We start from the raw sequence: 20,669 nt of genomic DNA on the forward strand, positions 1-20,669 counted from the left end.
GCCTCTGGAGTAGCTGGGATTACAGGCATGCGCCACCATGCCCGGATAATTTTTGTATTTTTAGTAGAGACGGGGTTTTGCCATGTTGGCAAGGCTGGTCTCGAACTCATGACCTCAAGTGATCTGCCCGCCTTGGCCTCCCAAAATGCTGGGATTACAGATGTGAGCCACTGTGCCTAGCCGTTGGTTCCTGCTTTTAGTTGAGGGGTGCTGAGTATGTAAAATATAATTGCTGTAAAGCACAGTAAATACTATAACAGAGATATGCACCTAAAACACATTTGGGTAAAAGTGGATAAACCAACCAATTTAGCTTCAGTACCATAAGGAAAGCTTCTGAAAACTGTACTCCAGCCCAGGCGACAGAGCAAGAGTTTGTCTCAAAAAAATAAAAATTAAAAAAAAAGAAGGGACTTACGCTGAAACTTTGTAAGTAGGTAGTGTTCCCAGGGTGGGAATGTGGGAAGAAGGGCATTCCAGACAGAGGAAACATTGTGTAATCTTCAGGGAACTACAGAGAGTATGGTTTAACCAAAATGAAGAGGCATGTTGGAAAGGGTTGAGAGATGACTCTTGACAGTAGACAGCTGTACTTTGTATACAGCCGAGAGGAGTTTGAACTTTATTATTTAATTATTGGAGTATCATTGAAAAACATGGAACTTGAACACACCGATTCTCATTTTGGCAAGATTTTGAGGTTGTTTGGAGGGTAAGTCAGGAGTGGTAATGGTTATGGGACCAGATAAGAGGAGCAATTAGCATATCATTGCTGTAGTCCAGATGAGGCATGGTGAGAGTCTGAAATGGCAGCGGGAATGACAAGAATAGATTTCAAATATGTTAAAGACGCCGAATCAGTAACATTTAATGATTAGCTGGATATGGTGGCACATAATCTCCACTACTCTGGAGGCTGAGGCAGGAGGATCACATGAGCCTAGGAGTTTGAGTCTATCTTGGGCAATGTAGCAAGACCATATTTCTTTAAAAAAATTTTTTTAATGATTGATTGTGAGTAATGAGGGAGAGAGAAGAGTCCAGTATAAATCCCTGAATGATGGGGTTATAGATGGGCACATTTCTCACTAGATTTTTGGAAGAAGTTTTACATATGTGAATAGCTTCTACAAAATTAATAAATATATAAAAGTAACTTCTGAGTAGGTTATTTCTAAGTTTTTCTTTATTTTTATTTATAGATGCCACTTCAAATGAACAACAAGAGCTTTTCTGTCAGAAGTTGCAGCAGTGTTGTATACTGTTTGATTTCATGGACTCTGTTTCAGACTTGAAGAGCAAAGAAATTAAAAGAGCAACACTGAATGAACTGGTTGAGTATGTTTCAACTAATCGTGGTGTAATTGTTGAATCAGCGTATTCTGATATAGTAAAAATGGTAAGCCTCTAGAATTATGTTCCTCAGATTTATGTAAATTTAAGATCTGAGGTATAATAATGAATTGAGACTGATTTTAAATAAATGTACAATAATTAATACATCCCCCAAATTTTAGAAAATAGTTCATACCCCATCCATTCCAATGATACCATCATTGCATATACAAGTTTGGGAATTGAGAGTCATAGTGGCTGGTGGCTTCCATATTGGATAGTGCAGATCTAGAGCTTAAGAGAAGGGTTTAGGCCTGGGATTATACAGATTGATAGGTAATTAATGTCATGGAGGTGAATAGTTACTGAGAACTTTTATTTTTATTTATTTATTTTTGAGACGGAGTCTTGCTGTGTAGCCCAGGCTGGAGTGCAGTGGTGCGATCTTGGCTCACTGCAACCTCTGCCTCCCAGTTTCAAGCAGTTCTCTGCCTCAGCCTCCCGAGTAGCTGGGATTACAGGTGCCCACGACCACGCCCAGCCAATTTTTGTATCTTCAGTAGAGATGGGGTTTCACCATCTTGGCCAGGCTGGTCTTGAACTCCTGACACGTTGATCGACCTGCCGCGGCCTCTGAAAATGCTGGGATTATAGGCGTGAGCCACCGCACCCGGCCATTACTAAGAACTTGTAAAGGGGAAAGGGAAGACCATTGAAAGACTAGGGATCTCCACATTTAAGCAGTGGGTAAGGGAGTCAGGTATAACGCTTTAATTGAAAGTCAGGATCTTTAAGAAGTTATAATATCTGATGTGGAAAAAAAACTGCAGCCAACTTTATTGAAGTAAGGTTGTTTAGGATGCTTGCTGTTTATTAATAATTCAACCTTATTTTCTATCAAACAGTATGATTTTGTTTAGTATTTGTGATTTTTTAATTTTATTTTATTGTATACTAACAAAATATAAAAATTCAGGCCAGTGCAGTGGCTCGCTTATGCTTGTAAACCCCAGCACTTTGGGAGGCTGAGGTGGGAGAATCACTTGAGGCCAAGAGTTCAAGACCAGCCTGGCCAGCATAGCAAGGACCCATCTCTACAAAAAGTACTAAAAATAAAAATAAAAATATTAGCTAGGCATGGTGGCATGAGCCTTTAGTAAAGGCCCAGCTACTCAGGAGGCTGAGGTGAGAGGATCGCTTGAGCCCAGGAGTTCAAGACTGAAGTGAGCCATGATCACCACTGCATTCCAGCCTGGGTTGACAGAGGAACACCTTGTCTCAAAAAAAAAAAAGTAAAAAAATCCAGTTGGACTAATTAGAGAGTCGCTGAGTACATAATTTAAACTTAGAGTATTGAAGCTAAAAGCAAATATAAATATAACCTACAGTTGCCTTCATTTCTTTCCCCTTGCCTAATATATGTTCTTGGGGAAGAACCAAATGTGTAGTAGGAAATATAAGTTTGGCCCTACTATAGTAGTTGGGTTTCCTTTTATCAATCTGTAGTATAAGACCTCTCAAAAGGAATTAGGAAATTTTTGATTGTTGGGTTTGTTTTTTTTCCTTAGAGAGAATAAAAGCCTTCAAAAAAAAATTTTTTTTTTTTGGAGACAGAGTTGGCTGGGCACAGTGGCTCATGCCTGTAACCCCAGCACTTTGGGAGGCCAAGGCGGGTTGATCACCTGAGGTCAGGAGTTTGAGAACAGCCTGGCCAACATGGTGAAACCCCATCTCTGCTAAAAATACAAAAATTAGCCAGGTGTGGTGGTGGGCGCCTGTAATCCCAACTATTTGGGAGGCTGAGGCCGGAGAATTGCTCGAACCTGGGAGGCGGAGGTTGCAGTGGGCCAAGATTGTGCCACTGCACTCCAGGCTGGGCGACAGAATGAGACCTTGTCTCAAAAAAAAAAAAAAAAAAGAGAGTGTCTCTTTTCCCAGGCTGGAGTGCAGTGGCGTAATCATAGCTCACCACAGCCTTGACCTCCTGGGCACAAGCTGTCCTCCTGCCTAAGCCTCCTGAGTAGGTAGAACTACAAGCATACACCACCATGCCCGATTAATTTTTTCATTTTTTTTTTTTTTTTTAGAGGTGGAGCCTTGCTTATTGCCCAGGCTGGTCTCAAACTCCTGACCTCAAGCAGTCCTCCTGTCTCGGCCTCCCAAAGTGCTAGGTTTACATGCATGGGCCACCATGTCCAGCCTCAAAAAAATTTAAAGATTAGCTATAGAGAGAACATTAATCAAAATGAAATTGGCTTAAACTCCTACAGACAATAAAAGGAAGTGATAGTTTGAGAACATAAATACTAAATATTGATGGACTTCTTCAAGTTTTTTTTATCATTTAAAAAGTTCAGGGAGAAAAAGCAGTATTTCCTACTGTTACTGATTTCAAATGGCTTATATTCAGGAATTTTTAAAGTCCTGGGAATTAATCTCTAAAATTGTTGACAGATACTGAAAGTCTCAAATATTTGAGTCAAATTTGCTATATACTAATAAATTATGGGATTTAATTTCTTTGCCCAAGTAAAAAGGTGTGTGTGTGTTGTTGCTTTCTTAAATATTTTATTTTGATTTCTGTGGGCACATAGTAGGTATATATTGTTGGTTTCTTAAAAATTTATGAGTACTTAATTTAATATCTAAGTAATACTTGAGTCATCTTACCAATTTAGACTCTTGAAGCTCTTCTGAATATTTGTTATATACAGTTAATTTTATTAGTGGCTACAAGGTTAACTTTTTCTTTTACTACTGACAATAATAAGTATGATCTCAAGGACAAATTCTACGCTCTTGTGAGATAGATTTCTTTTCAAATTGTATCGATGGCTTGCTGCTACTCTTTGTGAAATTGATGTCCATCAAACTGTTTATTGGCTTTGCCCTCAAGTACTGACTTTGAGTTCTGGCTGATCAAATTTTAGGTTATTACTTATTAAGTCTTAACGGTTACAGTAATTGACTATTAGCAGTTAATTTGTGTACCAAAGATGCCACTTCATAAGAATAGTTGGGAATTTGCTTGCAATTCCTTGTCTTGTCCTCTACCTCTGGAATAGTTTGTCTCAAAATGATCAACCCCTTAGTAGTTGGGCCTTAAATGTTTATTAAACTACTTAGTCTGTCAGTCTGTTCATTATTCTTAAAAAAATTGTAGATTAGGACCACAGTCTATCCTTTGCTAGAGAAAAAGGATATATATTTACCTTAGTACTAAGATAATGCAAAGCATGAAATTATAAATCCTTTATTTCACTGGATCTAAAATGAAGCACATCCTGATTTCAGGGTGGTTAATATGTTTTTTAAAAGTCTCAAAGTAGATGAAATACAGTAAATTAAATCATCAAAAGGTATTATAAACACATTTATATTAACAGTGAAGGCATTCTACCCTCACTCACCTCTTCCTTAGTGTGGTATGTATGTATAAGAATGGAGAGATTTTACCAAACTCTGAGTTATAAGGCAAGTATAGAATATGGCCATGTTGGAATATGGGAGGAATTATAGAAAGGTGAAATGAATCAAATTAAAGATAAGTAGAATTAGTAACTTTTTCCCTCGAATTCCCTGTACTCCCTTCCTCAATATTCTCCCTTTCCCTTCTTTCTTTTTTATTTTTTTATTTTTATTTTTATTTTTGGAGACAGGGTCTGGCTCTGTCACCCAGGCTGGAATGCAGTGGTATGATCTCGGCTCACTGCAACCTCTGTCTCCTGGGCTCAAGCGATTCTCCTGCCTCAGCCTCTCCAGTAGTTAGGACCACAAGTGTGCGCCACCATGCCTAGCTAATTTTTGTGTTTTTGTAGAGATTGGGGGTTTCACCATGTTGCCCAGGCTGGTCTTGAACTCCTGACCTCAGACAGTCTGCCCCCCTCGGCCTCCCAAAGTGCTGGGATTACAGGTGTGAGCCACTTCGCCTGGCCCCCTCTTTCTTTTTAAGCAAAATTCGGAAAGAACAATTTATAATTTAAAGAAGATGAATCCAGAGGTTATCTGTAATCTTCAGGAGCTTAGGTCTGAGGAAGTCAGAGTTATTGGATAGAGAAAAGAGAGAAACAAACACCTGCTTTCTTTGTATCTTGAAGAGGTTTACAGATTTTGAACTAAGCTTACAGCTATAACTTTTTTCTGAAAGTGATCTTTAAAATACTTCGTTTTGAATTGTCCAATTCAATTACACATACAACAACGAACGTAAAATTATTTTTTCTTTACAGATCAGTGCTAACATCTTCCGTACACTTCCTCCAAGTGATAATCCAGATTTTGATCCAGAAGAGGATGAACCCACGCTTGAGGCCTCTTGGCCTCACATACAGGTATGGAACATAATTACGTATTGGCAGTTTTTATATTTATGCTATTCTGCAGAAATCATGGTTTTCTCATTTAGATTCTGAGTGTCTGTGTAAAATATTTGACTTTTATGGTTTTATTAACATTATCTTCTTTCATGCAAGTACTGTTTTTCAATGTTTTTTCATTGTAATAAAATACACTTAACATATATTTACCATTTAAACCATTTTGAAGTGTACAATTCAGTGGCACAAAGTACATTCGCCATGTTATACAACCCATCACCACTCTTTAATTCTATAACTTTTCTATCACCCCAAATGGAAACCCCATTGGCATTTAGCACTCATGCCCCATTCTGCTCTCTTTACAGCCCCTGACAACTACCAATCTGCTTTCTGTCTCTGGATTTGCCTATTTTGGATACTTCATATAAGTGAAATTATGTAATATGTGGGCTTTTGTTTCTGGGTTCTTTCAGTTAGCATAATGTTTTCAAGGTTCATAAATGTAGTCTGTATCAATACTTCATTCCTTTTTATGGATGAATTATTCCATTGTATGGATATACCACATTTGTTTATCCACTTACCAGTTGATGGACATTTAAATTATTTCCATCATTTGGCTATTGTGAATAGAGCTGTTATGAACAGTTCTATGTATAAGTTTTTGCTTGAATCCATAAATTTTTATACATTATGTTTTTCTTTTCTTTCCTTTTTTTTTGAGATGGGGTCTGGTTCTGTCACCCAGGCTGGAGTGTAGTGGAGTGGCATGATCTCAGCTCACTGCAACTTCTGCCTCCTGGGCTCAAGCCATCCTCCCACCTCAGCCTCCTAAGTAGCTGCAACTACAGATGTGTGACACTACACCTGCTAATTTTTGTATTTTTAGTAGAGATGGGGTTTTGCCATGTTGCCCAGGCTGGTTTCGAACACCTGAGCTCAAGCAGCCCACCCACTTGGTTCCCAAAGTGCTGGGATTACAGGTGTGCAATTAATGACAAATTCTTTCAGTGTTTATCTAGGAATGTCTTAATTTCCTCTTCATTTTTGAAGGAGAGTTTTGCTGGATGTAGAATTCTTGGCTAACAGTCTTTTTCTTTCAACACTTTGAACATGTCATCCCATTTGTCTTCTTACGTCCATGGTTTTCTGATGACAAGTTAGCCATTAATCTTATTGAGGATCTCATCATGTATGTGAAAAGTCGTTTTTCTTTTGCTGCTATAAATGTTATCTCTTTAAGTTTTGTCAATTTGATTATGATGTATCTAGGTGTGGATCTTCTTGACTTTATTCTACCTGTTGTTTATTGAGTTACAATTAGAATTCATTATGTAAACTAATATTTTTCATAATATTTTATTTATTTTTGGTCATCATTCAAATATTTTTCCTGCCCTTTTTCTCTCATCTTCTGGGACTCTCATTTATGTGTATGTTGCTATACTTGATGGTGTCCCACAGGTCTCTGGAGCTCTGTTCAATTTTCTTCATTTATATATGGATTCTAGGTATTAATGCCAATTAATTTGCTGATTTTTTTTTAATTTTGCAAGTTTTTATATTCTGTAGTGACCTTTACATTTTCTGTTATTATAAAAAGATGAGAGAGGCCAGGCATGGTGGCTCACACCTGTAATCCCAGCACTTTGGGAGGCCAAGCTGGGTGGATCACCTGAGGTCAGGAGTTCCAGACCAGCCTAACATGGAGAAACCCCATCTCTACTAAAAATACAAAATTAGCCAGGCATGGTGGCACATGCCTGTAATCCCAACTACTCAGGAGGCTGAGGCAGGAGAATCGCTGGAACCCAGGAGGCGGAGGTTGTGGTGAGCCGAGATTGCGCCATTGCACTCCAGCCTGGGCAACAAGAGAGAAACTCCGGCTCAAAAAAAAAAAAAGAAAAAAGATGAGAGAAAGAAAATTACATTCTATGTCGTTTGGGATACTTTATGCAATAGTCTGCCTCATTATTTATTAATTTATTCATTCTGTGTAGCACCTATACATCCAAATAAAATGGAGCGGTGTCCTAGGATTAGTGAAAGCTGATAATGGTTTTAAGATCTTTCAGCACATTAGAGCTTACAGAACTAGAAAAATCCTAAGTGGTAAATTATTTTTTAATAGAACTGTACACAAGTTTATCTGAAATTTTGTTCCATAGTTGGTGTAAAATTAATAATGCTGTATATGAAATGTAAAGGTTTTACATATTCTCATTAGCTGATAAGTTGATAAGCTGATAATGAAAAATTCTCATTAGCTGATTTTTTAATCAGATGTAGTTGAACAGTCTGAAAAAGACCCCTTGGTCTTTGAATTTTTAAAAGTAAAGAAAGTGTTTTCATTAGAATATATTTATATGCTCATGGAAAGTAACAGTGGAAATTGAGCCAAGTAGACAATATGCTTTCCATTTTTAACTGGTATGATTTGAGGTTTTATTTAAATTCCCTGAAACCAGTGGTTCTTAACATTTTAGGAGGTGGTAAGTTGCTTTCAAAATATGATTTTTTCTTTTTTTATTTATGTATTTATTTTTGAGATGGAGTCTCACTCTGTTGCCCAGGTTGGAGTGCAGTGGCATGATCTCGGCTCACTGCAACCTCCACCTCCCAAGTTCAGATGATTCTCCTGCCTCAAGTCTCTTGAGTATCTGGGACTGCAGGTGCTTGCCACCATGCCCAGCTAATTGTTGTATTTTTAGTAGAGATGGGGTTTCAGCATGTTGGCCAGGCAGGTCTCGAACTCAGACCTCAAGTGATCCATCCACCTCAGCCTCCCAAAGTGCTGGGATTACAGGCATGAGCCACTGTGTCCAGCCCAAAATACGATTTTTGAGAAGTAGTTCTCTCTCAAGACAAATTCCCAGAGATAAAAGAAATTCTCATTCATCTATGGTCCCTTGATTAAAAGGCTCTGCCTTAGATATAGTTAAAAAATCTTTCTGAAAACCAAAATTTCTAGAAACCAAAATTTGGCATACAGTTTTTAAATTTGGCAATTAAATAGTCTAAGGACATCAGAAACTGGTAGATACTAAAGTGACCTGATTTATAGGATTTGTCAATATATTGTAGCTACGTTATTAATCATCTTGAGTGTTTTTAGATGGAATATTAAAACTACTCTGACAAATTAGATTATAGGGAATTGTAGCACTGAAGAAATTTGCTCAATGAAAGTTTCTTCTGCTATTATAATGTGTGCTTAACCCACCTGGAATTCTTTTGTTTCGTACTAAAAGTTTACGTTTTACATTTAGCTTATGAGATCCTAGATGCTAGAAACTAATTTATTAGGGTGGAAAATAAACATTAGTTGTTAATGAGGGAGTAATTACAAGTAATCTCAAAACCTTTCAAGCCTTTGTTTCCCCACCCTTTTCATGAATTTTCTAAACATGTGCTAATAAAAGTTTATCTGTTTTTACTTATTCTTACACTGTAATGGAAATACTAATGAGCAATGGAATAATGGAATAAAAAGAGATAGAAGAAAGGACCACAAGGAAGGTCATTTCAGTATTAGGGGATAGGTTGTATCTTCTAATTTATTAAGTGTAGTATTACATGGTAACTTAATGTACAACAGTTTTAAATTATTTTCTCATTTCTTTCCTAAGTATTATTGCTTTCTATTTATTGAAGACTAACAATATATTAATTTTCTGCACTTTTAGATAATTAGGACACTTGGCTGCTGTACTAGCCTGGAATACAGGCAGATTGTGTATTTTCACTTTCTTTTATTAATTACTTTAGTGGCACAGATAATTAAGATTTAATTATGTAGGATAGTGCCTAGAACATAGACCTTTTTAGGAATAAGTTGTATTTTAGGGATTAGAAGGCTTTTCTCTCTGGGCAATATAATTAGAAATTTAAACTAGCAACATACATATATTACAGTGTACACCTTTACATTCAAATAACTCTTGGCCATATACTATATTTTAAATATTTTCATGGGCTAAGAATCCAAAATGGTAGGAATCATAGCCTAATGCACTAACTTTATAGCCACAAAAATAAAAAGGAATATCTTTTATATAAGGTTGAGAAATACTTTCATTGCTTTGGCCTTTTTCATTGTGAATAGTTATTATCTTTTTAGTTCTTATGGATAAAAGAGCAGAGGGAAAAAACCTAGGCTCCCTGTATTTAAACTATTCAAGGTTTATGCACAATCTGTGTTTTCACAAGGATTACAGAGAAAAACAGATTCTTAAAAAACTAAGATTTTGTTAATGTTTACCTCATCCCAGGCAATGTTCTTTTTGGGTGCTTAATATATAATATCTCATATAGTTGACTATGCATTAATTTTTATATGAATTCTTTTATATATTAAATCAATTAAAAACCTTATTTACGTTTCCTCTTAATAGAGGTTGGAAAACATTGGTCACCTGTATTACTTGAAAGCAGCCTCTTAGGTACTTGTAGGTCTTTAAAGTTTGCTTCTGAGTCTTTGCCTCTCTGACCCAAACATTTCTATTCCTTTAGCTTTTTGTATAGGTCTTATTTTTCAGATACTTTAATCATCTATGCTGTTTTCTGTTGGAACTTCTCCCAAGTCTTTTTAATGGTGAAGACCAGAATTCTATGTTTTATGTTAACTCCCTTAGGAAAGACATGGTCAGAACTCAGTAGAATAGTAAGATTACACTCCTCAATTCCCTATACTTTTTAGTTATCTTTCACTTTTTAGGGTATTTTTGGTGTACAGAAGTAGAAGGACTAGCCATACATTGAACATAGTTGAAGTTTGTCATTTTATTAGTGAACTGAATTCACTGGTGAAGTGCCTGTTTTTCTTTGCAACACTGTTTCTTAGATTCTTGGAGCAAGTTATTTGTATAGAAGACCATAGAAGGCTGGGCGCAGTGGCTCACGCCCACTTGTAATCCCAGCAATCCCAGTAATCCCAGCACTTTGGGAGGCTGAGGCAGGTGGATCATGAGGTCAGAAGGATCATGAGGTCAGGAGTTCGAGACCAGCCTGAACAACATGGTGAAACCCCGTCTCTACTAAGAATACAAAAATTAGCCAGGCATGGTGGCACACGCCTCTAATCCCAGCTACTCAGGAGGCTGAGGCAGGAGAATGGCTTGAACCCAGGAGGCAGAGGTTGCAGTGAGCCGACATTGCGCCATTGCACTCCAGCCTGGGCGACAAAGCAAGACTCTGTCTCAAAAAAAAAAAAGAAAGAAAACAAGACCATAGAAAAACTTCAGTCACTACGTAGAAACACACCTTCTTAACAAATGTGATTTTCATTCATTCAGTAAGCATCTATTGTGTGTCAAGCATTTTTGTAAACATTGAGGGTAAAGTAATGAACTAAGCAAAATCCCTTACATCCTAGCAGAGAAGAACAAAATAATAATAAAATAATTGGCATATATTCTATGTTACGGTGTGATACATTTTTTAAAATGTAGGATGGAGTAAATAGAGAGTGACACTGGGACAGGATAAATTTTATAGAAGCATAATCTCAATTATTCCATTTTGAAGATTTCCAGCTCTGTAGATCACTAGTGTTTCTTCTACCTCTATTTGGGATAACTATTCATCATTTTTATTTATTTATTTTTCTGAGATGGAGTTTTGCTCTTGTTGCCCAGGCTGGAATGCAATGGAGTAATCTCGGCTCACTGCAACCTCTGCCTCTCAGGTTCAAGCAATTCTCCTGCCTCAGCCTCCCAAGTAGCTGGGATTACAGGCATGCACCACCATGTCTGGCTAATTTTGTATTTTTAGTAGAGACGGGATTTCTGCATGTTGGCCAGGCTGGTCTGGAACTCCCGACCTCAGGTGATCCACCCGCCTCAGGCTCCCAAAGTGCTGGGATTACAGGTGTGAGCCACTGCACCCGGACCTCAATATGTATTTAAGTAACTTTTTGTCATCATCTCTTTAGTGGTGCTAAGTTGGCGGCATAACAGCATTTTGCTGCTAATTTTGACTGATCACCTAATGTTTACTGTGTCAGGTAAATGATGTAGATGAAAACTATGAAAGAATTTATATGTGGTATTTGTGAATGGCACAGGTTTCAATTATATATATGGTTCAATTATATATATGGTTTAGAGAATTCAGTTTGAGAGAATTAGAGAATTCAGTCTGATTTGTAGCTTGATGTCATAAAAGTCTCCCATAGGACAGGCTATTACTCTGAAAACTATTAAGCCTTAAACCCTATATTTCTGATGAAGATCTTAAGAAGGGAGAGTAAATAGGCTAATGCATGCCACATTTGGCTCATGTTTAATGTTTAACCTGATCCCACCTTATGGTGGAATCTCCAGGGATTTGCATAAAGATTTGGAGTCTATAATTCCATACCATCAACCTATACTCTGCATTCTCTTCATCTCAAGACATGCTGCTTAAAAAAAAAAAAAAAAAAAAAAAAGCCAGGCATGGTGGCTTACACCTTACCAGCACGTTAGGATGCTGAGGCGGGTGCATAGCTTGAGCCTGGGAGTTCGAGACCAGCCTGGGCAACGTGGTGAAACTCTGTCTCTAAAAATAAATAAATATATATATTTTTAAATCAAGACATGCTGCTACATTTCTATAAAATAAAAGCCATCCTCTTCCTGAGGATCCAGAATCAAAACAAAGGATCTAGAATCAAAACAAATGCAGGGCTCAAGTTGCATATCCTCCTTAAAGCTTTTCCTACCTATTCCACAGTGATACAGCCCTTTTCTAAATAGCTCCTGCACTTATAGTCTGTGCCACATAATATAATTTTTGTGTAGTGAATGGGCTTTTTGAGCCATACCATCCCTAATGTCTGTTCATACTATACATAGCCCAGTACTGGACATGAAAATAGGCACTGAATGAATTAAGTTGTGCCGTTAATGAAACTGCATAGCAGTCCATGAGACTGTGCTGACTTTTCAGAGCGCTCTGTGATCAGTTTTGTATATCTTTTTGCACGTGTATACCCCAAAGCAAAATTATCTTTTATCTCTATTGTTGTTTGATTAGAAAATTATCTATGAATAAAAACTTAAATTGCTATCAAGTTTTATTTCTTGTTATATCCTTAATTTATGATAAACACAAAATGTTAGGTAACATTAGACCAGATAAGCATCACTCCTTTTCCACAGTTGGGCAGAGATACATCAAGCAAAATTGTATTTGCTCAGATCCCCAAACTTTTGTTAGCTGTAGACTGTTACTGAACTCACAGTAGTAAAAATGTGTTGTTACTTGGTGAATGATAAGGCCTAGATCTGGTAGTGCTTTTGTTTGCTCTAAGGTCTATTAATTTAATGTAGCAATCTTTCTTTTCCCTTTTTCTTTTCTAACTTCTACATCAACCTAACTGGCTACCTAAATGTTCATTGAATGACTGTTTTTGCTTTGGGATAGAATCCTCCTTTTTTATTTTTAGGGTGTTAAATTGATATAGTATTGTTTAATAGCTAATAAGATACATTTTGGGCTAAGTTTCTGCTTTTTATACCTATTAGGTTACAATAAAAAAAAACTTTAGTCATATTTGCCTTTCTCCTTGAAAGCAGGTATGATAGTGACAAGCTGAACCAAATATTTAATTCTGATTTGTGGTAGCAAGTGAACATTTGCTATTACTTGTAGGTTGCTTGGCACTTTTATAGAAGGCCTGCTATGACTTCTAGTTTATTTGCTGTGGTTGGTACACAGACATTTCTTCCCTAGCCCTGTACTTACGTAATTTGGTTCATTATTTCTCAAGTGTGGATAGGATATGCCTGGTTTTGATTTAATTAGTTTTCCCACTGTAGTTTTATAGAAAGACCAGAAGTTTTTCTTTTCCTTTCTTTTTAAAAATTAATGATACACTGCCTGTTTTATCTGGAGGTTGTTGACTCTGCATTTAAGAAACTCTGTAGTGATTAAATTGAGGTAGGTAGTAGTCCACTGGGAAGGAACATCTTCCTAGTGAGTATGGATTACAAAATAGGAATATATTTAATTAAGAAATATTTAATTTTATAGGCATTGTCCTTATTTTCTAGCTCCTGTAATTTAACGTTTTGCATCAAGTTATGTAAAGCAATAAATAAATCTCAAAGTTTATCAGCTTAGGAAACCAAATGGTGAATATATAGTTTCTAGGTTTGTTTGTTTATTTATTTATTTATTTTTCAGACAGAGTCTCACTCTGTTGCCCAGGCTGGAGTGCAGTGGTACGGCACAGTCACGGCTAACTGCAGCCTTGACCTCCAGACTCAAGCAGTCTTCCTACCTCAGCCTCCCAGTAGCTGGGACAACAGACATACGCCACCATGCCTGGCTAATTTTTTGATTATTTGTATAGACAGCGGTCTCACCATGTTGTCCAGGGTGGCCTCAAACTCCTGGGCTCAAGGGATTCTCCCACCTCAGCTTCCTAAAGTGTGTTGGGAGTACAGGTGTGAATTTTTAAAAAAAATTTTTTTTATCAACTCATTACATTTTATAATGAGATCTGAAATCTCCCCACTAAGTTGGTAAGAAAAGGTGTGTTTTTAATATGAAGTGATTATTTAGGGTAATATTCTGTAGCCATCATCTTAGCCTTTATTTGACTTTCTCTCATAGTTGGTATATGAATTCTTCTTGAGATTTTTGGAGAGCCCTGATTTCCAGCCTAGCATTGCAAAACGATACATTGATCAGAAATTCGTACAACAGGTAAGGAACTCTTTTGTCTTAGATTCTCATATATTCATCTTAGCAATGATTTATTAACTTATTATTAAAATAGTGTAGTCTTTCAAAACTTTAATGGTTTAATTTGACAGCACTTAATATTACTGCCAAACCATTAGAATAAAAGTGAAGTTAGCTCTGAGAGTACAAGAGTATTTTTATCAAGGGTGAGAGTCTAATGAAGTCAATCAAATTATCCTATTTAATCCTAAATTATCATAGTTATTTTATAAATACCAGAAAAACAAGCCTTTCTGCAGTATCTGAGAAAATGTGGTATGACCATTCAATCCATGGGCAAATCTTTGTTTTACATTTGTAAGTCTTTGAACTTGACATATATTTTAAGCATTGGGACTTTGAAATGACGGGGGAAAAAAGGAGTAGAATCATTGTGAGGAATTTGGGCTTTAGGCTCCTTTCCTAAGTATCAATTACCTTTTCCTTTTTCTTTCCTCTTTGCACCTAAGCCCCACCACCCAATTCCTAAACCACAGATAAAGTGGAATCATTAAGAACGTAAGGAGGTAGAATTAATTGTGATGCCTTCTTTTTTTTTTATAAACTGCTTATTAGCTGTTATTTTTGGAACCTACATATTCACAATTTCTAAGAATATATTCATTTTCAAAACCTTTTCAAAAATTTAAAGGCCTCTTTTTTTTTTGAGAGGGAGTCTTGTTCTGCTGCCCAGACTGGAGCACAGTGGTGCAACCTCAGCTCACTTCATCCTCCGCCTCCTGGGTTCAAGCGATTCTCCTGCCTCAGCCTCCCAAGTAGCTGGGACTACAGGCACACGCCACCATGCCCGGCTGATTTTTTTTTTCTATTTCTAGTAGAGACGGGGTTTCACCACATTGGCCAGGCTGGTCTTGAACTCCTGGCCTCAAGGGATCCTCCCACCTCAGCCTCCTAAAGAGCTAGGATTACAGGTGTGAGCCACTGCACTGGCCAAAGGCCCCTTTTTAACTATATGGAATTGGCTGGCCCCAAAGAAAATTGTGAAGTAGACCAAACCTTTCTAGGCATTTCTAGGCCTGAGTATGCAGGCCTCTTTAGGAATTTGATGCTGAGGCCAGGATTAAAATCATTGCAAGGACCTTTCCTACCCTTCAGACCGCTTTGTATGTGCCCTATGATAAAAATTCTACTAATGTGAGTTTGGTATATTTAGAGCTGATCTTTGGTCATTCATAACTACCCTTGACCTCATATAAAGTATTCTGACCTGTTGCTGTGAAGGATTGATAAATGAAGAACATTGTCAGCCTAAAATATTTCCTTCAACCATTGAAGTAGCTCTTCATAAACTATAAAGAAATATTAGGTGTGTATTAACAGTAACATATACATTTTAATCATGACTAAAAATTACATTAAATGGAGTTATGTTATTTTGGTAATTGCAAATGAATGCCTGTTTATTTCCTTGTGCAGCTCTTGTGTGGGATACATTAGGGAGCTCTAGTAATGCCATATGAAATTGTATTTAATACAGTAACAGGTTGAGGGGAACAATTGCCTTAGTGCTTTGTTAGTCTAGAGCTTGAGGTATTTAAGCTGCTGTATTATTTTGTGGTGTGAGGGGAGCAAAAAGAAAACTGGTGGGGCAGGATCTGTTTTCTACCTTCTACTTTAAATGCTTGAATTATCTGAGAAGCTAGGGCCCAGTAATTGCTTTTAGCAGTTTATATGGCTGTTTTGCTCTTGTTGCCCAGGCTGGAGTGCAGTGGCTGGATCTTGGCTCACTGCAACCTCGGCCTCCCAGGTTCAAGCGATTCTCCTGGATCAGCCTCCCAAGTAGCTGGGACTGCAAATGTGCCGACATGCCTGGCTAATTTTTGTTTGTACTTTTAGTAGAGACAGGGTTTTACTGTGTTGGCCAGGCCGGTATCAAATCCCTGACCTCAAGTGATCCGCCTGCCTTGGCCTCCCAAAGTGCTGGGATTACAGTTGAGAGCCACTTTGCCCGGCTGCCATTTTTAATTAGAATAATTTGATGTGAACTTATTAGATATATTAACAAAAATTCTCATACTCCGTAGATATTTTTTGCTGGAGTCTCATGAGGGCCTTAACAGCCTAGCAAACAAAGAATGGAAACTATAAGTATGGCAGTTGTTTTGGGAGATATAAATATGATTTAAGTCATCCACTCTGGTTTCAGATGCATGTGTTAGCAATTGTATATAATTCAAAACAAAATGGAATAAGAACTTCTGATGAGGTTCAGAGCTTGCTATCTTTATTGTAATTATAAACACGAAAGTTCAGAACATAAAATTCCTTGACAGCTTTACAGATACTTGTACTCTAGAGAGAGTATTTTATATTTTTCTAAGAAAATCCAATGTTTAAAATACAGTGTTTTTTTTGACAGAAGAAATTAAGTTTCTTTACCATTTTAAATGGAAATTTGAGATTTTGACTTTAACTTTTTCTAAAGTCTCTTCTCTCAGGTTTTGCTGAAAAGTTGTGCAGAATATAGGAGTACACTGATTGGGCCAATTGAGGTATAGGAGAGTGCTGACTGTGGAACTGGTTTAAAATTTTTCAGCTATTTGCTAAGCTGAAAAATCTATGGGCTGGGCATAGTGGCTCACGCCTATAATCCTGGCACTTTGGGACACCGAGGAGGGTGGATCGCTTGAACTCAGGAGTTTGAGACCAGCCTGGGCAACATGGTGAAACCCCGTCTCTACCAAAAAATATATAAATTAGCTGGGTGTGGTGGCATGTGCCTGTAGTCCCAGCTAGTTGGGAGGCTGAGGCAGGAGGATCTTCTGACCCCAGGAGGTCGAGGCTGCAGTGAGTTGTGATTGCATCACTACCCTCCAGTCTAGGCTACAGAGCAAGACTGTCTTAAAAAAAAAAAAAAAAAAATTTGGCCTCATCTTTTAGTCCAGTGTTATTTTATATATGATTTCTACTCTATTAGTATGTATCTGCCAATATTTTATTCTAATAACTGAATGTTAATTTTTCAAATGTCTGCATGGTAACTGTCTTGAATTTATTGTAAATTCACAAAAAGAAGTCTTAGTATATGTACATCTTTCTAGTAAACTAGAAATATACATTTACACATGGATCTTTTTAAGACTATTTGATGACTTGCAATCTAAAAACTTAAACGATTTTCTATGTAGTTTTGACGATCAAAAAGCATTAAAAATCCCAAATTTTAACACTCCAAAATTGTGAGCCTCTTTAGTATTCAAGAGTAGGATTGAATTTTAAAATCAGTGGGAAGGTAAAGAAAAATCCACTTTTTGAAATATTTATATTTATTGTAAATGTCATATTTTGAAGTGAAATAAGTGAGAAGAAATATTTCCTAAGCTTTTCCTCACCTTCATTACTTAGCAAGAATAAAGTCAGTGTGGTAAGGAAGAACTCTAAAAAATTTTTAAAAGATGTCATGGATAATCTTTAAGATCAAAATTAGAATAAAGCTTTAGCTCGATTATTTTTTAAAAGTAATTTCTCAGGTTTCTTTTAAAGCTCCTGGAGCTTTTTGATAGTGAAGATCCCAGAGAACGTGACTTCCTGAAGACTGTTCTGCACCGAATTTATGGGAAATTTCTTGGATTAAGAGCATTCATCAGAAAACAAATTAACAACATTTTCCTCAGGTAAATTAATCATTTATTGTATATTGCACCTTTTCCTCCTACATATCTTCTTGTATTCAAGTTCTTTTATTTTTATTTGTTTTTTTGAGACAGGGTCTCACTCTGTCATCCAGGCTGGAGTGCAGTGGTGAGAACATAGCTCATTGTAGCCCCCATCTCCCAGACTCAAGCAATCTTCCTCTCTCAGCCTGCCAAGTAGTGAGACTACAGGTGTGCACCACCACGCCTGGGTAATTTTTTTGACTTTTAGTAGAGACAAGGTCTATGTACTGTATGTACGTAGTATATATATGTAACATATATATGTAACATAGTATATATGTGTAACATATATATGTAACGTAGTATATATGTAACATACTATGTATGTTGCCCAGGCTGGTCTTGAACTCCTGAACTCAAGCAGTCCTCTTATATGGGGCCTATCATTTGCTTGTAGTCATCCCTCAGTATCTGGGGAGGATTGATTCCAGGGCCCCTGCTAATAGCAGAATCCAAAGTCCCTTATATAAAATGGCACAGTATTTGCATATAACGTCCACACATCCTCCTGTATACTTTATTTCTAGATTACTTACAATACTTAATACAGTGTGAATGCTGTGCAAATAGATGTTATTCTATATTTTAAATTTGTATTTATTTTTCAAAAATATTTTTGATCTGTAGTTGGTTGAATGCACAGATAATGAAACCTGCGGATACAGGGCCAAGTGTACTTTATAAATATTAATCTGTTAAGTAGTTGCTTCAGATCAGGAGATTTCATAACAACACCCACATTCAAGGTTTGGTTTGTTTAATTAATTGAAGATCTGGCAAAATTTGGTTACTATTCCCACATTGCAACAATTAGAGATGAGTAATATCTGCCTCCTCTAGAGTGAATATCTTTCTCCAGTTCTCTGTCATCACTTCCTAAGCCCATTTCAAATATCTGCCCTATTATATTTATGTCTCCCTGCTTTAAAGGCAGCCCTAATCTTGGAAAGCTATGCAGCCTATATAGTTAGAGGTGTAAAGAAATTCTGATTAAAAATGGCTTTATTACATATGGGTCTTTTTCTCTTGGATTTCCCTATAATTAGAGGTTTCTTATTTTAAAAAGTATTTCTTTGAGGAAACTTATCTTTCTTATTAATTATTAAGTTGAATATTCCAGGTGAAATGACAATCTGTTATCTTCACATATGGCGAGTTTTGGCAAAGGCATATGTAGTTCAGTAGGAAACATCTTCTTTTTTAAGATTGATATGAATTAACTGTTTGGGGCAAAACTGCTTATAAGACCCAAAACATGCTTGTGTGTTTCTAATAGCTGTCCTTTGGATTGATTTCTTCACCCTCCTGCCTGTTTCTCTTAGTTTTCTGAAGTTTGATTTTGATTACATCTTGTCTTTATTTTAAATTCAGGTTTATATATGAAACAGAACATTTCAATGGTGTTGCTGAACTTCTTGAAATATTAGGAAGGTAGGTCAGGTTTTTTTGTTCTTTTTAAGAATTAAGTAAGTGAATGTTTTATGTATTAAAATCTTAGCTGGGGTTGGAGAAATTATGTCATATTTTAGAGTTTAAATGTAGAACACATAGTTTCTCAACTGAAGTCTTTTTTTTTTTTTTGAGACGGAGTTTCGCTCTTGTTGCCCAGGCTGGAGTGCAATGGCGCGTTCTCGGCTCACTGCAACCTCTGCCTCCCGGGTTCAAGAGATTCCCCAGCCTCAGCCTCCTGAGTAGCTGGGATTACAGGTGCCTGCCACCACACCCAACGAATTTTTTAATTTTTATTTTTAGTAGCGATGGGGTTTCACCGTGTTGGCCAGGCTGGTCTTGAACTCCTGACCTCAGGCAATCCACCCCCTTCGGCCTCCCACAGTGCTGGGATTACAGGCGTGAGCCACCATGCCCAGCCTCAGCTGAATTCTTATTACCTTTTGCCATAACACTTTGCCTTCCTTATTCACTACGTATTAGTATTAAGAGAATTTTAGACCCTTCTGTTACTATTTAGACAATGATTTTAGTTTCCTTTATTAATAGTAGAAAATGATTGTGGAGAGAACTACTTCTTTCACGTTATCCAACAAAGTAAGAAAAATTACCCATTTACTTCAGAAAAATATTGAACATTCTAACAATATTGTGGTACTGACTCTCCTGGAGCTTTGGGGGCAAAAATAAAAGCAACAATGCATAAAGTGACAGGTTTGATAGAAAATGAAGATAGAAATTACTTGGGAATTAATTGACAGTCCTAATTTTCTTTTGGAATCATCAAATGACTTAGAGGAACAGACTTCATAGTAATAGTCTTCCTAAAGTAGTTTGAAGATGAGCAGTCATACAACACCAGGATTGAAGCATAGCACTGTTCCTTATGTACTCATGGATATGACAGCTTTTAGAAACAAAGTAGTAACTACTTAACCCTTCCCCTGCCTTTTTTTCCCTCCAGTATTATCAATGGCTTTGCATTGCCACTGAAAGCAGAACATAAACAATTTCTAATGAAGGTTCTTATTCCTATGCATACTGCAAAAGGATTAGCTTTGTTTCATGCTCAGGTAAGTTTCAGAAACATTTCAGATGAAATGAATATTATTTCAAAGGCCAATATAAAGGCAGAGAAATTGAGAAATACTGAGATGACAGTTTTAAGTATAATTAA

At 36.9% G+C, this 20,669-nt stretch overlaps 1 protein-coding gene across 2 annotated transcripts in view; it reads left to right on the forward strand.

Annotated features, from left to right (window-relative positions):
- Positions 1-20,669, forward strand: part of PPP2R5A (protein phosphatase 2 regulatory subunit B'alpha) — a 76,444-nt gene that overhangs the window by 42,523 nt on the left and 13,252 nt on the right. For both annotated transcript variants that reach the window (NM_006243.4, NM_001199756.2), the window contains exons 2-7: positions 1,203-1,399; positions 5,565-5,666; positions 14,256-14,348; positions 17,871-18,001; positions 19,415-19,474; positions 20,457-20,565. In NM_006243.4, coding sequence (NP_006234.1) covers positions 1,203-1,399; positions 5,565-5,666; positions 14,256-14,348; positions 17,871-18,001; positions 19,415-19,474; positions 20,457-20,565 — 692 coding nt within the window. The remainder of the gene's footprint in view (positions 1-1,202; positions 1,400-5,564; positions 5,667-14,255; positions 14,349-17,870; positions 18,002-19,414; positions 19,475-20,456; positions 20,566-20,669) is intronic.

This window comes from Homo sapiens, chromosome 1, assembly GCF_000001405.40.
Source record: "Homo sapiens chromosome 1, GRCh38.p14 Primary Assembly".
Taxonomy (NCBI): domain Eukaryota; kingdom Metazoa; phylum Chordata; class Mammalia; order Primates; family Hominidae; genus Homo; species Homo sapiens.